The sequence below is a fragment of the Homo sapiens genome, chromosome 22 (assembly GCF_000001405.40).
Source record: "Homo sapiens chromosome 22, GRCh38.p14 Primary Assembly".
NCBI lineage: Eukaryota > Metazoa > Chordata > Mammalia > Primates > Hominidae > Homo > Homo sapiens.
This window is the reverse complement of record NC_000022.11, coordinates 45512490-45528115: the sequence shown is the minus strand read 5'-3', so window position 1 is coordinate 45528115 and position 15626 is coordinate 45512490. Positions and strand designations below refer to the sequence as shown.

Below are 15626 nucleotides of genomic sequence, written 5' to 3'. Positions count from 1 at the left end.
ACATGAGCCAAGTCCTTAAAATCTCTCTCTCTCCACTCTCGCTCTATATACACATCCCGGAGAACCTTAATACACTGCTCATTAGGGAAGGAAGGGGGAAAGTTACCCGTTTCTTGGAGGCCCCCGACATCCAAATCTCCGGTCTCCTGGCTCTTGACACAGCATGCCTGGAAGACCTGTCCACACTGGTAGCCAACCATGAGGCTGTACTCGCAGCTCTGGCCCTGGGCCTGGGCCGCCCTCCCCAGCAGACAGCAATGGCAGCACCTCTGCAAACACAGGTGGAGATCCCAGATGGAGGAGCGGGCAGACAGCCCAGCGGGGTCCACGAGAGGCCTCAGGGGAGGCCTCTCTGAGCCCCCTGTCCACACAACCTGTAGAGTGATGACTCAAGTCTGGCTTAGATACCACTTCTAAATGTCAGCAACAAATAGCAAAGCAAGGCCATCCCCCTACTCCAAATCATCTAGGTCCCAGTTTTGAAAGGAAGCTTAAAGGGCCTGGCATCCACCTCCCCTCCCCACCCCAACATGCAATTGCACCCCTCAACATCCCTGCCCCGCCCAGAGACCACCCGGCTCTGCTCGCACACATCCAGGAAGAGGGAGCTTCTTATAGCACCATGCACCAGCTCCAAAGTTCTGTTCCTTTTGCATGGTCTGAGATTTCTCTACCATGCCCGGAAAAATGACACACATGCATGCTGCCTCTCCGTTTTTGAGTTAGAGGGGTTCTGGCAGCAGGAATTGCACCGTGCATTTGAAAGCACAGGAACTTCAAGACGAGTCATCAAGCAAGGTCAAAGGACAGGGTGGCTGTCTGCCACCTGGGCCCAGGTCCCAATAGTTACTTCCAAGTCCCTGTGGCCTCACACCTGAGTCCCAGAAGCAACATTTGCCCTGACACACGAAAAGCCCTGCTTCAGTCTTTATTAAGTGGTTATCCTAAGAGGAGCACAGAACTTTCTAAACAGTCCCCAGCAGGAGCCAGGAGGTGTAGCTTTGCCTCAGTTATGTGGCACTGATGGGTCTTCCAGGCTGCTTATTCTACGCCCTCCGCTGCCAGAAAGTGTAGGGAGCATCAGTCACCTCATCCATCTTTTGGGGTGTGAGTAATCCTTCCTGGAAACACAAGTCGCTCATCTGCCAGAGAGATCTGTTCCCACTCCTGCTAGAATGTTCTGTGCTTTTTCCACACCTCTCAAGTCTGGGGACATGGGCACAGCTGTGTGCCGGACCGACGGCATCTGCAAGGCCCAGCCCTGCATTGGGTGTTGGGTGGGAGGGTGCGGGGGCAGTCATGAAACGCCCAAAGTCCTGGTTCCCAGGCACCCCCACCATCACCCCACCCAGCTCTCTCCTGGGCCAGAGCCCTGCCCTGTGAAAGCCCACACAGGCCAAGGTGGGCAGGGGACTCGGGACCCCCAACTCCTCCACACGGAGTCCCTCCACAGCCCAATCTATGTGGAGAATCCCCACAAAGGAGCTCCCACACCCTCTCCTGGAATCCAGACTTCATTCAGATTCTTGTTTCTTAAAATTATTCCATCACCTTCCTAAAAGGAACGGGAAGCTTCTTCCAGGGAATGCATTTTCGTCATCTGGCACCTCCAACAGAAGCCCAGCTTCCAAACCCGAGCTCCTCCAGGCCCAAGTTCCTCCTGGCCGGGCTTGTTTTCCTTGCTGGCTGGGTGGTAAGGGAGGGATGGCCTGGACACCTTGGGTTTACTGCCTGTAGGCAATGCTGTCAGGCACCTTTCCACCTCTTGCAAAGACACAGCCCTTCCACGGCCATAGCGGTCCTGAGTGACCTGCTAGCACGTAGGGTCCTAGGAGCACTCAGGGAAGAGGACTATGCCATTTATTCACAGCTTACCTTCAGGGCAGGATCCCGTCTGGGTCCCTGACAGGACTGCAGAGAGGCCATTTTGGAGGCTGGGCCTCTCTGAACCTCAGTTTCCTCTTTTAGGGTCGTTATAGAGGTCAGATCTTATCAGAGGTCTTAGTGAGGGCCCATTTTTACCTCTGGACCCTGACGAGTCTGTGGGTAGAGAAGCCTGAGAGCCTCCTGGGTAGGGTGAGGGTGCCGACCCTGAATTGAGAAGAAGATTCTGGAAGCCCAGGAGGAGCCCTGCTTTGACTTCTGCATCTGCCCAATGCCTGGAGACAGGCGGTTCTCAGGGCAAGGCCAGCTCACTTCACCCCCCGGCCTCGTGGGAGACTCGGCCCCAGGTGTCCTCCGGGGTTTACGGCTACAGTGGAGGGGGAGAAACAGTGGGGTTTTCCACCTCCCTCCTGGCCCAGGAACCCCCAGCTGCTCACAAAGAAAGGTGGCCTGAGGCAGGGAGCGCTGACAGACAGTGCCGCTTGGCTGGGAGGGCCTGGGTCTGCCGACTAGTGGGGACGGGCAGCGACCCCACATGGTCTTTGGCTCTCACCTTCACAAATGTGGCCTCCAGGCTGGCGTTGTCACCGTGGGGCGTGGCACAGCGGTCCTGCTCGTTGGCCAGGCTGATGCCCGTGGCACAGTGCAGCTCCTCCAGCTGGCTGTGGCAGCACTGCTCCTGCACCATCCTGTGGGTGAGGGGTGGGCTGGGCCAAGGCTCTGTGCGCAGGGGGCCCAGGGCACGAGATCCTCGGGGGTGGGGGTGCTCTCACCTTTGAGCCTCCCCTTCCCTGCTCCCACAGACACAGAGAGAGAAATACACAGTGCCCCAGTGGCATACAGAAGGAGCTCAATTAGCATTTAGTTAGAAAGGCTTGGCCGGGCACAGTGGTTCACACCAGTAATGCCAGCACATTGAGAGGATGAGGTGGGAAGACCAGTTGAGCCCAGGAATTCGAGACCAGTCTGGGCAACATGGTAAGACCCTCTTTCTTTCTTTTCTTTTCTTTTTCTCTCTTTCTTTCTTTCTCTCTTTCTCTCTCTCTCTCTCTTTCTCCCTTTCTCTCTTTCCTTCTCTTCCTCTTTCTTTCTTTCTCTCTGTTTTTCTTTCTCTCTCTCTCTCTCTTTCCCTTTCTCTCTTTCTCTCTTTCTTTCTTTCTTTGAGATGGAGTTAGGCTGGAGTGTAGTAGTGTGATCTCAGCTCACTGCAGCCTCTGCGTCTCGGGTTCAAGCGATTCTCCTGCCTCAGCCTCCCCAGTAGCTGGGACTACAGGCATGCGCCACCACACCTGGCTAACTTTTCTATTTTTGTAGAGACGGGGTTTCACTGTGTTGGCCAGGCTGGTCTGGAACTCCTGAGCTCGGGTGATCCCCCCGCCTCAGCCTCCCGAAGTGCTGGGATTACAGGCGTGAGCTACCATGCCTGGCCTCTTTTTTTAAAAAAAGAAAGACAGAATGTAGTATGGTGTCTGGAGTCAGAGCCAGGAGGCCCAGTTTTGTCACCAGAGTGGCCGCGTCACTCCTCTGAGCACTAGGCTTCACCCGCACAATGTTCCTGCTGATTTGAAAACCAAAAAGCGGCGGGGGGCTGACTCTGGGCCCAACCTTCCACCCCTTTATCAGGTCAAGCTCTTCTCAGTGCTCGTTCCATCTTCCAGGCTCAGAGCAAACAGCTTCTGAGAGTCCTGTTGGGTAGCCTGCCCAAGGCCCCAGAGGGAGGGATGGTGGCTGCAGTGGCACCTAGCTGCAAAGCCCACACCTCCCAGCCCTGCCGGGGCTCTGGGGAGAGGTCCTCGACCTGCCAAAATCAGCTCCTCCAACACAACCATGAGGCTGTGACAGCTAGGGGCTGGCGTGGGCGGGCTCCAAAGGCAATGAGCAGGAGAGGAGTGTGTCACGGGTGGCCCCTGACCAGACCCAAAATAACCCCAGCTCCAGCCAAAGCCAGCAAGGGCAGGAAGAGCCACCCAACTCGTGCCTCCAGGAGAGAGGGTGGGGGCCTCCCCAGCTTCCCTGCACTGCCAGCCAGGCCACCTCTGCACAAAAATGGCAGCTGCCAGTGCACCTTCCCCCAACCTTCCCTGGGGGACTGGAGGTCTGAACCCGGCTGCCCGTGTGTCTCAAAACTGCCTTCAGGCTCCAGGATGGAATTACCGAGCTGAGCTAGCACACATTTCACTCATGCTTTCGGTGGATTTGCAAATAACGGCGTTTCACTAAACTGCCAGAGCGAGCCACCAGCCATGCGTGCATCCATTCAAAAACTATTGGCTAGCCAGAAAATCACAAGTGTTGGTGAGGATGTGGAGATGCTGGAACCCGTGTGCATTGCTGGTGGGAATGGAAAAGGGTGCAGCTGCCGTGGAGCACAGTTCCTCCCAAAATTAAAAATAGAATAATCATAGGACCCAGCAATTCCACTTCTGGGTAAATATCCAAAGAACTGAAGCATGGTTTCAAACAGATACTTGCACACCCATGTTCACAGCAGTTTGTTGTTGTTTTTTGTTTTGTTTTGTTTTGTTTTTGAGATGGAGTCTTGCTCTGTCGCCCAGGCTGGAGTGCAATGTTGCGATCAGGGCTCACTGCAACCTCCGCTTCCTGGGTTCAAGTGATTCTCCTGCCTCAGCCTCACCGGCAGCTGGGATTACAGGCACCTGCCACCATGCCCAGCTAATTTTTTATATTTTTAGTAGAGATGAGATCTTGCCATGTTGGCCAGGATGGTCTCAAACGCCTGACCTCAAGTGATCTGCCCGCCTCAGCCTCCCGAAGTGGTGGGATTATAGGCGTGAGCCACTGCGCCCGGCCTCACAGCAATATTATTTACAACATCCAAAAGGTGGAAGCAATCAAGTGTCCCAGGCACCTCAGGGTGTCCAGCTGCCTCAGGCTCACCCCCAACACCCCAGCCTCTATCTCATGGCCCCCTCAGCCACCTGGTTACCCTTGTATCTGGTGCTTCCTCCCTGGGACTGGCCGTTGCTGGCTCCACTCCAGCCACCCTGGCCGCCTTGCTGTACACACCCTCTCCTCTGGGCTCTTGCGCTGGCTGTTCCCTCGGCCTGGGATGCTCTTCCCACTTTCCATACTGCCCACGCCCCATTCAGGTCCTGGCACAGTGAGGCCAACCCCACGGCTCTAAAATTATAAACCCACCATGAGCAGAAGCCCCTATGCCTCCCTGTTTCCCCCACGGCACATCCTGCCTTCCTACAAACCATCAGACGGACTTATTACTTTCTTTGCATTCTGCATCCCCTATAGAATGCCGCCTCCACGAGGCCAGGGGACTTGCATATTTCGTTCACCGATTGATCCCCACTCACCAGAACGGAGCCTGGCACCTAGCAGGCTCTCAGTGAGATTTGCAAAATAAAGAAGGGGTTAGAGAAATGCTGGGCTGGAAAATGTCAGCTTGGGACTTGCTTTAGGTTTCACTGGATGTGTCCAGATTCCTCCAAAAGACGCTGAAGGACATGTGGGTTTAATCTAATCCAAAGTTTTAGGTGGATTTAGATCTGGATCCCAAGGAATGTCGGGCCTTGGTGGAGACCTAGAGTCAAGATGATTCATGATGGGAAAACATCAAAGCTGCCATCTTCTGACCACCCCAAACACGTCCTTGTTGAAGCTGCAGGCTGCTTAACCCCTGCTTGGCTACAGCCCATGGTTGCGGAGAGGTCGGCCTCTCCCTGCAGTCCTCTCTGAGCCTCTCACCCACTCAGGGAGCTGATACCCCCTCCTTTGGGCCCTATGGACCCTCAGGGCCTCACACCCTCGACTGCTGCCAGGAGGGCTGGCCTGGGCTTGCCTGCCTGCTCATGGCTTTCATCCTGCCTCTTCCTGAGCATCAAGAACCAATAAAGATTTGTTGAATGAACAAAAACTGATTTTACTTCAGCTGGTGAGCCTCACAGAAAGCCACTTCAAAAGAAGAGAATTTGGCTGGGTGCAGTGGCTCATGCCTGTAATCTCAGCATGTTGGGAGGCTGAGGCGTCCAATCACTTGAAGCCAGGAGTTCGAGACCAGCCTGGCCAACATGGTGAAACTCCCGTCTCTACTAAAAATACCAAAATTAGCCACGCATGGTGACAGGCACCTGTACTCCTAGCTACTCAGGAGGCTGAGGCAGGAGAATCGCTTGAACCCAGGAAGCGGAGGTTGCAGCAAGCTGAGATTGCGCCATTGCACTCCAGCCTGGGCGACAGGGCCAGACTCCATCTCAAAAAGAAAAAAAAAAAGAGCTGGCTAACACAACAGACAAACCAGGTGGTCAGTGATCCCTGTTTTTTGCATCTTTTAAATATCACTATTAAGAGGATTCTTGTAAATAAGATTTGATTTCTGATCTGCCCTATCCCTTCCCTGCCTTCATTAAAAATGAAAATCTATACAAAACTCATTAGAAAATCCCTTCATTAGCATCACTGCACTGCTGGCCACACCCCGCATCCACAGCCCTTGCCTCAACCAGACAGGAGCTCTGACCTCCCCAGGTTGGGGAGGCTGGGGCGGGGTCCTGCTCACCCGAGGACCCCCACAGCCACATCAGTGACTGCCTCCTGAACCCTTATGTGGGCTCCGTCTCACTGTGACCTGGAGCCCAGGCTTGGCCTCTGATTGGCACAGGCTGCGTGGGGTTTGGACCCCAGTGAGAACAGGGTAAAGGGGAAGCACACAGGAAGGGCTGGAGGGCAGCGGACAGCACCTGGGGCCACAGGGCAGTGACGCAGGCAGAGCTGGGCAGCTCAGTAGCTCACTTGAGAGGCAGCCTAGGACAGGTATGTGGCCCCTGGCCTGTGTGTCCACTGGGATGAGTCAATGGGCCTCCTGGGGCCTAAGTGACACAATGGGCCAGTCACTTGCATCTGGTGACCCTGGAGTGGTGTCCTGGGCATTGAGCCACGTGTTTCAGGGACACTGTCATATGGAAACTCACGATACCCAGGAGTCTGGACTTGCACCCGCACTTAAAGAGAGAAGGAATGCCCTCTCAGCCATTCTGATGGTATTTCTTACATTCCAGGAAATCTAATGTATGTCTGAAATTTCTAAGAAGGCAATGTGTTTGTCCTCTGGGACTCAATGGAGATTAAAGATAACCCCAAAATTGGCCGGGCGCAGTGGCTCATGCCCATAATCCCAGCACTTTAGGAGGCCAAGGCAGGAGGATCACCTGAGGTCAGGAGTTCGAGACCAGCCTGGCCAACACGGTGAAACTCTGTCTCTACTAAAAATACAAAAATTAGCCTGGTGTGGTAGTGTGTGCCTGTAATCTCAGGTACTCGAGAGGCTGAGGCAGGAGAATCGCCTGAATCTAGGAGGCGGAGGTTGCAGTGAGCCAAGATCAACATACTGCACCCCAGCCTGGGCAACAGAGCAAGACTCAGTTTCAAAAAATAAAGAAAAAAGATAACTCCAAAATTTACCAAAGACATTAGTGAGTAGAAGTCAGTAATACATTTGATAGTGACTAAAATCCCCATTCACAAGCAAGGCCCAGAGTGCTGCTGAATCTGCGGCCTCAGTTCCTCTGCCTGCACGTTGAGGGGTTACACGGGCTGATGCCTCACTTTCTTTTATTTCACTAAGTATTAATAGTAGTGGCTCCCTATTATGGGCTAAATTGTGTCTTCCCAAAATCTATCTGGTGAAGTCCTAACCCCCAGTATCTCAGAATGGGACTCTATTTGGAGACAGTGACTTTAAATGGGTGACATAGTTAAATGAGGTTGTTAGGGCAGGCTGTAATCCAAAGGACTGGTGTCCTTCGAGGAAGCGGTGAGCAGGACACAGACACATACAGAGGGAGGGCCGTGTGAGGACACAGGGAGAAGAGGGCATCTACAGGCCCAGGAGAGGAGCCTCAGAAGGAGCCCACCCTGCTGACACCTCGGTCTCAGACTTCTGGCCTCCGGAACTATGAGGAACCGGTGGTTGAGCCACCCTGCCCCTTATACTCTGCTCTGGCAGTCCTAGAAAACCAATACGTTGCCACAGTCTGGCTTTGTGGTGCTGATTTCATAGGTGATCTCTGATTTTTTTCTTTTGATGGTGGGGGCACGGAGTCTCACTCTGTCACCTAGGCTGGAGTACAATGAACGGTCTCAGCTCACTGCAACCTCCGCTTCCCGGGTTCAAGCGATTCTCTTGTCTCAGCCTCCCGAGTAGCTGGGATTACAGACGCCCGCCACCACAACCAGCTAATTTTTATATTTTTAGTAGAGACGGGGTTTCACCACGTTGGTCAGGCTGGTCTGGAACTCCTGACATCAGGTGATCCACCCGCCTTGGTCTCCCAAAGTGCTGGGATTACAGGGGTGAGCCACCGCGCCCGGGTGATCTCTGATCATTATAACAACCCCAGAAAGGAGGTATCATGGTGCCTTTGAGCTGGCTCAGGTCACCCAGCCTGAAACCCAACCAGGTTGGTCCACCTCCCCAGCCCTTGTCCTTCCCGGGGCCAGACTGGCTGCTGTCCGTGCAGACGGTACACAGAAAGTAGGTGCTCCACACGGGCATTCTGGGGTTTTCACTATTATTTTTATGATGATGATCAGCATGACCTAATCTCATCATTTATTCCTTTTTTTTTTTTTTTTTGAGTTAGAGTTTCGCTGTTGTTGCCCAGACTGAAATGCAGTGGCGCGATCTCAGCTCACTGCAGCCTCCGCCTCCCAGGTTCAAGCAATTCTCTGGCCTCAGCCTCCCAAGTAGCTGGGATTACAGGCGCATGCCACCACGCCCAGCTAATTTTTTTTGTATTTTTAGTAGAGACGGGGTTTCACCATGTTGGCCAGGCTGGTCTCGAACTCCTGATCTCAGGTGATCCACCCACCTCGGCCTCCCAAAGTGCTGGGATTACAGGCGTGAGCCACCGCGCCCGGCTTCTCATTATTTATTCTAAGCTTACACGGTCTCAGAATTTTCAGAGAGCTGGAGTCAATGTAGGGAGAGAAGAATAAAAACGGTCGATCCAGATGTTGGCTGCTGCAGAAGCTGAAAAACCGGCTGGTGGAACGCTTCACTCTGCGCCGGCTCATTGGCATTTTTGGGGTCTGTAGGTGGTCCGTGTTTCCACTCGCAAAGCTCTTTAGTCACATCATCTCCTTTGCTCCCCCACAACTGTCCCCCCTTTTTTAAAAGAGAAAACTGACTTGCCCACAGCTGCAAGCCCAGATCTTCTTGCTCCCAGCCCAGTGAAAGAGACACATACCCCGACAATCACAGAGTGGCACAGGAAGGGTGAGCCAAGGCCCGGTGCCAGGCCGGTGCCAGGAGGGAGGCAGGAGTCACCCACTGCAGCACCCGCAGCCTGGATGGATCCGGGCCTGGGTGTCCAGCCTCTCCCGAGAGGTCTGGCACACACTGTCCCTTCCTCCCCCACTTTTCTCTAAAGGAACATTGTTCCAGTGAAACAGTGGCCACTGGCAAACGTACCTGCATTCTTTGGATTCCGTAGCATATGGCAGCGAGCAGTCCTTCTGATGAGTGGCCATCCGGTGTCCGTCCGCACAGCAGGCCTCCAGGAGGACATCCGCGTCCACTGTGCAGGGAAGAGAACAAGCTGAGAGGTGGCTCACCACTCAGCGGGTGGAGGGCCCTCCCAGATGCACCACCAGGACACGCACGTCCTTCTGTCTTGACGACAGCATCAGGCTGGGGGCACATCCCTTAGTCACTCTGCAAACCAGTACTGAAAACCCCACCAGACCCCAGCTGCGAGTCCACACCCCACTCCTTCCTAGAAGAAAGACCTGAATCCTCCCCCATCTGAATCCAGCTTGGACAGGGCTGCGGCTCAGCCCCTGAGATCCAAGCACACATGGATCCCTGCTCCAGCCACATGCTGGAGATGCTGATGCGGTCCCTGTCCAGACAGGGTCCCTGCCTTCACAGTCCAGTAGGCAAGAAAGACAGCCCCTGATGACAGAGGCACGGCCATGCTGCCGGCCAGCCCAGCCCAGCAGGTCAGGGAACAGCCGACATGACTCTTTCCAGAGGAGAGACTGCAAACAGGGAGGGGGTTCAAAATGCAACGAGCTGAGTCAAGTAAGAAGGAAAAAAAAATTTTCTTTTTTTTTCTTTTTTTTTTTTTTTGAGACAGAGTCTCTGTCGCCCAGGCTGGAGTGCAATGGCGCGATCTGAGCTCACTGCAACCTCCACCTCCCAGGTTCGAGTGATTCTCCTGCCTCAGCCTCCTGAGTAGCTGGGATTACAGGTGCCCACCACTACGCCCGGCTACTTTTTTGTATTTTTAGTAGAGATGGGGTTTCACCATGTTGGCTAGGCTGGTCTGGAACTCCTGAACTTGCGTGATTGGCCAGCCATGGCCTCCCAAAGTGCTGGGATTACAGGCATAAGCCACCGCACCCAGCCTAAAAACCACCATTTCTAGACCAGCTTCTGTGACCCACATCCGTGTTTTCTCCTTTAATCTTGGGAGCAAAGGGGCAGGAGGGGGGACATAAGCCTCAAGCTACAGATTGAGGAAACCGAGGCTGGTGATGGTTTCTGCCCTTGACTTACCACAAGATCCCCTCTTCCACAGAAACGGGGACCTGTGAGAAGTCTGGTGAGGACAGGACTGGCAAAGCAGAGAGCACAGGTTCAGGAGTAACCGCAGCCTGGCCATCTTATCTCCCACTCGCAAAAAGGGCAGATGAAAGGATCACGCTCCAAGCAGCCGGCCCACACCCTCAGAGCCAGGCCACGGCCCAAATGAGCTGGGCACACAGGCCCTTGTGCCCCATGCCCCAGCCCAGGCTACAGCCCCAGTGGGCACCCTCCCAGCCCCTCAGCTCACGGAAGGGAGAAGACCCCATTGTGCCCCAAGGGAGGAGCGGCCGGGTGCCAGGTGCCCACATACTTGGACCTCATTCTAAAGGACTCAAATGCCAGAAAGCATTAGCACGACAGCCCCAGCTGCTGGGCAGAAGGTCACCTCTCGGCAGGATGTTACAAAACTGGGCTTTAAGAAGCACCACTTTTCCTTCCTAATGGCTTTCCAGCCCCTAGAGGGTAAATCCCACTGGGCTTGGCAGCGTTTCCGCACACACAACTGTGGGTGCCCTGCCTGAATACATTCTTCTTCCAGGCTGGGCCCTCGGGGTGGCCCAGAGGGCGGCTGCTGTCTGCTGGGTGAGGCAGCACCTTGCTAAACCACCCTATCAGTCATCAGCCACTGTAAGCACTTCTAGACTATGCGTCCTTCAGATGCTCCATCCCGTTCTCAGCAGGGGAGGAGGGGAAACTTGCAGAAACATTCCAGAATGGATAAGGTCAGTGCACGAATGAGCTAGGGCTCAGCCAGGCCATTCCACAAGGCCAGGAGGAGGGGGGTCTCACCTAGAACCATGTCCCCCAGTGACAACTTCTGGGCTTTCCCTTTTCCCCAGGGCTTCCAGGAAACTCAGAGCTGCTTTCTGCAGTGCAAGGTAGACCCACCCTTCTGACTCTCACCCGGCTCCCCGAGGCTGGCAGGAGGAGTCCTGCAGTGGCGTGGGTAAGGGTGAAGTTTCGTGCCACAGCAAAGCCCAACAGTTTCCAGCAGCCTGACCACTCAGCCCCCCTCCCACCTCAGGTGTCCCCTCTCCAGCGATGCTCTTCGGTGAACGTGAGATTCACCAGGAGGCAGAGCTAATGTCAAGTTGTCTGGAGTTGCCTCCCAGCACCAGAGGAAAAGTCATCAGGAGTGACAACCGTGTTATCATGGGGATAACCTTGAATGTCCCCATTCACTCATTCATTCATTCTTGCTCTAATTCATTAAGAAAAGCAAAAGTACTCACTAAGCCAAGGACCTTATCTGTTACAGACGAGACAGGCCGTGGTGCACTCCTGGATGAACAGGATGTGATCCAGCCATGTGGCCTGACAGCGAGGCTGCTCTCCCCTGTGCAGCCAAGCCCAGTTCCCATCTGTCCCCCTACCCCCTTCACCCTTTCTGCAGCCAACCCCGGTTCCCATGTCTGTCCCCACACTCCCTTCACCCCTTCTCTGGCCAGGCCCACTCAGCCCCCACCTGCAGTTTCACCCTCGTGTCTTCCACAGCCCGTCTCCTATCCTAGCCCACCTCCCATGCCCTGTCACCCTCTCCTGGCCGCCTGCCTGCCCACCCTGCATAGCTCGGGTGCCCCTCTGCTCCCATATCACCCCGTGCCTGGCGCATGTCTCTCCATCCTCCAGAGCCCTGCCTGCCTGCCTTACCCTCATAGCCACAAATGTCTTGAGGGCAGGCTCTGTCTCCTGTCCTTGTATACCCCCGACATCCATGCCAGCATGTGGCAGCTACAGAGTTGAGTAGAAACAGTGTAAGCTTTGGAGCCAAACAGCCTTTGGTTCCAATCCCAGCTCCAGCACTTTCTTGCTCTCTAACCCTGGGCAGGCAGCGCCGCCTCTCTGAATCACAGCTTCCCCAGTGGGAAAACGGGGCTTGCACTGTCTTCCCAGGGTTGCTGAGAAGAGGGATGCACTTTATAAAGTTCCAAGCACACAGAAAGTTCTCTGTAAACAGTCGCTGGAGGATTAAACCGTCGAAGGGGATTGACTTATCGCTGCTCATAAGAAATGGGGGAGACACAGCCGGGTGCTGGTGTGCGGAATCCCCCGCAGGTGAGCTGTGGCCCCAGAGCCTCCTTCGGACTCTGAGAAAGGAAAACACAGGGAAGGGCAGGCTCCCGTAGCCCTGGGAATTTTGCACCCAGAGCTGCAGAAACGGTTTGGAAATGCTTCCTGCTGGGGAGTCTGGGTACTGTGAACCTCACTCTCAGCAGGACAATCAAATGTGAAGTCCTTTGGTCTTCCGGAAACTCAGAAGGTAGCTCCCATGTTCTGAGCAGCCCCAGAGCTGAACTCTGCAAAGCAGGGCTGTCTGGGGGCTGTGCCCGAGGGGAGCTGAGCTCACCCCGTCATTAGCCAAGGGAGAGCTCCTGCACAGCCCCATCAGGGAGTCCACAAAGAGCCAAGCAGGGACCATGGCCAGGCTGGATGGCGACGAGGCAGAGGCATGGGGAGGGGACCCAAGAGGTGGACGATCATCCTCACTGTAACACTCACCAATCAATTGCCGGGCCCTGACCCACAAAGGCCTACAGACAAGGCCCCTCTCATTCACCGGCTCTCACTCCTCAACCCCTTCCATTCATTCTGCTATCATCCTGCCTGGGCTCCAAATGGAATTAAGAACAGAGGAAGCTGAAAAGCGTCAAGTCACCAGTGACATGAACATACATGTTAAGGTGTCCCTGCTCCCACAGCAAACCAGTGTGTGACCAGCTCCTCACAGGGCTCAGTGGACACTGGAGGCCCCCACGCCCTCCTGCCCACTGCTCTCACCCACGGCTCCTGGGCCCTGAGTTCTGGCATCAGGCTCAGTCCTGGCAGCCTCCAACACTGTTCTTTCTTGCTCCTCCTGAATTAAAACCTCCTTCGGGGCCAGGGATGGTGTCTTCCTCCTCTCACTGTCCATGTCGCACCTGCCCATGCCCAGCACAAACGTCACGGCTCAGTAAGCACCAGTTAAACAGAGCCAGGGCAAGGGGCCCGATCTGCAAGACCACTCTTGACATGCAAAGGCTGCTGGGGCAAGATCCTCTGCCCCCACAAACAAGCCTCCTCCTCCTCCATCGTCCCAGGGGGTGGAGGCAGTGACCCCCAGGAAAATCCCGAGGGGCTGGAGCCCACCCACACAAAATACGGGGCTGGTTAGAATTTCGGCAAAAGCCAGGGATGAGCTAGGGGTGGGGGAGTGGCTGAGGCTACAGAACTGCCGGTTTCTTAGCCTTGGAGATGTGCCTCGATCTTCCTAGTGGACTCAGCACTGGTTACCTCCCACCCATTAGAGGAAAACTGAGCTTCAGGGAGAAGAGGGGCCTGGCATCATGGCTCCAGATGCCAACAAAAGTACTATCTGCAGCAGGTTAAAGATGTGTGTAGCCCACACAAGAAAAGGTGCGTCATTAACTTGGGTTCCAAAACAAGGGCACCGACCTCTTTACAAGCTTACCTTGGGACAGGGCAGGAACAGGTTCCCTGAAGCACAAAACCAACTCCACTCCCACCCCTCAGACATATCCTTTCCAAGACACATTCCGATTAGAAACGAAAAAAAGTTGTCTCTGTCCCCTTTTAAATAAACAAGCTTGGCCAGGTACGGTGGCTCACGCCTGTAATCCCAGCAGGTCGAGGTGGGCGGATCATGAGGTCAGGAGTTCGAGACCAGCCTGACCAACATGGTGAAACCCCGTCTCTACTAAAAATACAAAAATTAGCCAGGCGTGTGGTGCATGCCTGTAATCCCAGCTACTCAGGAGGCTGAGGCAGAAGAATCGCTTGAACCTGGGAGGCAGAGGTTGCAGTGAGCCAAGATCACGCCACTGCACTCCAGCCTGGGCGACAGAGCAAGACTCCGTCTCAAAATAAAATAAACAAGCTTTACTCTGGTTATGAAAAGAAAGGCCAGTAAGGCACGTATGGTGACCCAGGATAAGAGTACCTATGAGGTCCCTAGAGGAGTTAAATTTGTAGGGAATTTGTCAGAGACAGGAAGGAAAAGGATGGGTGGGTGCCACAGGCTTCGGGGGAGAGGACGGGGAGTTAGTATTTAACAGTTTGGGAATATGAAAAGTTCTGGAGATGGAGGTGGTGATGATTGTACAATAATGTGACTGTATTTAATACCATTGGACCATACACTTAGAAATGGTTAAAATGGGCCGGGCGCAGTGGCTCACGCCTGTAATCCCAGCTACAATTAGCCGGGTTTGGTGGGGTGAGCTTGCAATCCCAGCTACTCAGGAGGCTGAGAGGCAGGAGAATCACTAGAACCTGGGAGGTAAAGGTTGTAGTGAGCAGGGATTATGCCACTGCATTCCAGCCTGGGTGACAGAGTGAGACTACATCTCAAAAAAAAAAAAAAAGGAAATGGTTAAAATGGCAAATCCCATGTGATGCGTATTTTACCACAATAAAAAGTACATCTTTTAAGCAAAATAATTTAGTGTTTGTTGGTCATCTTATAACATCCTACAGTAGGAAAGCAATCGATGCTTTGCCCGTTGACTTACTTGCCTTCTTCAATCAATGTTGTTTTCATGCAGTAATCTGAACAGTGTCAAGCGAATTAATTTAGTAGATTGTATTTCAGAATGTTCTGTACAGCAGTTTGACAGTGTATGCAATGGTTTACACGGCAAGCTATGAAACTTCAAATGAGACTTAAAATGTTCAGTAAAAAATAGATTGCAACTTTGCAACCAAAATAAAGATGACTTAACAACAACAAAAGAACAACAACAACAAAAAGGCCAGGCATGGTGGCTCAAGCCTATGATCCTAGCACTTTGGAAGGCAGAGGTGGGAGGATCGCTTGAGCCCAGGAGTTCAAGCTTGCAGTGGGCCACGACTGCACCACTACACTCCAGCCTGGGGGACAGGGGGAGACCCTGTCTCAAAACAAAAAAACTAAAAACAAAAGAACACCCTGAGGATCACAGCTCCCCCGTGTGTCCTGTGAGGGTGGGGCGATGGGAGTGGGGAAGGGCCTGGGGTCCAGCCCCACCCTGGCTGTGCCTCCCGCATCCCTGCAGGGACTTCCAGCTGCTCATTTGCCTGGGGATCCGGTCACCTGTGGATATCCAAACACCAGGTGTCCTGAGCTTCGCTGCCCCATCACACAGGCTGGGGACCATCTGAGGCCCACAGAGGCACCTCCCACCTCACTGTCCTATCCACCTGC

At 54.0% G+C, this 15626-nt stretch overlaps 1 protein-coding gene across 4 annotated transcripts in view, besides 2 other annotated features; it reads right to left on the bottom strand.

The window, feature by feature from the left end:
* Positions 1 to 15626, bottom strand: part of FBLN1 (fibulin 1) — a 98253-nt gene that overhangs the window by 73020 nt on the left and 9607 nt on the right. For all 4 annotated transcript variants that reach the window (NM_006486.3, NM_006485.4, NM_001996.4 and 1 more), the window contains exons 2-4: positions 9329 to 9434; positions 2438 to 2573; positions 107 to 269 (exon numbers count right to left, since the gene is read on the bottom strand). In NM_006486.3, the coding sequence (NP_006477.3) occupies positions 107 to 269; positions 2438 to 2573; positions 9329 to 9434 (405 nt within the window). The remainder of the gene's footprint in view (positions 1 to 106; positions 270 to 2437; positions 2574 to 9328; positions 9435 to 15626) is intronic.
* Positions 3318 to 3869: an enhancer, noted in NCBI's record as "H3K27ac-H3K4me1 hESC enhancer chr22:45920127-45920678 (GRCh37/hg19 assembly coordinates)". NCBI's record gives its function as "activates a minimal SCP1, AML or CMV promoter by ChIP-STARR-seq in naive and primed H9 embryonic stem cells {active_cell/tissue: H9 hESC(naive and primed)}" and the evidence as "EXISTENCE:reporter gene assay evidence [ECO:0000049][PMID:30033119]".
* Positions 12041 to 12975: an enhancer, noted in NCBI's record as "H3K27ac-H3K4me1 hESC enhancer chr22:45911021-45911955 (GRCh37/hg19 assembly coordinates)". NCBI's record gives its function as "activates a minimal SCP1, AML or CMV promoter by ChIP-STARR-seq in primed H9 embryonic stem cells {active_cell/tissue: H9 hESC(primed)}" and the evidence as "EXISTENCE:reporter gene assay evidence [ECO:0000049][PMID:30033119]".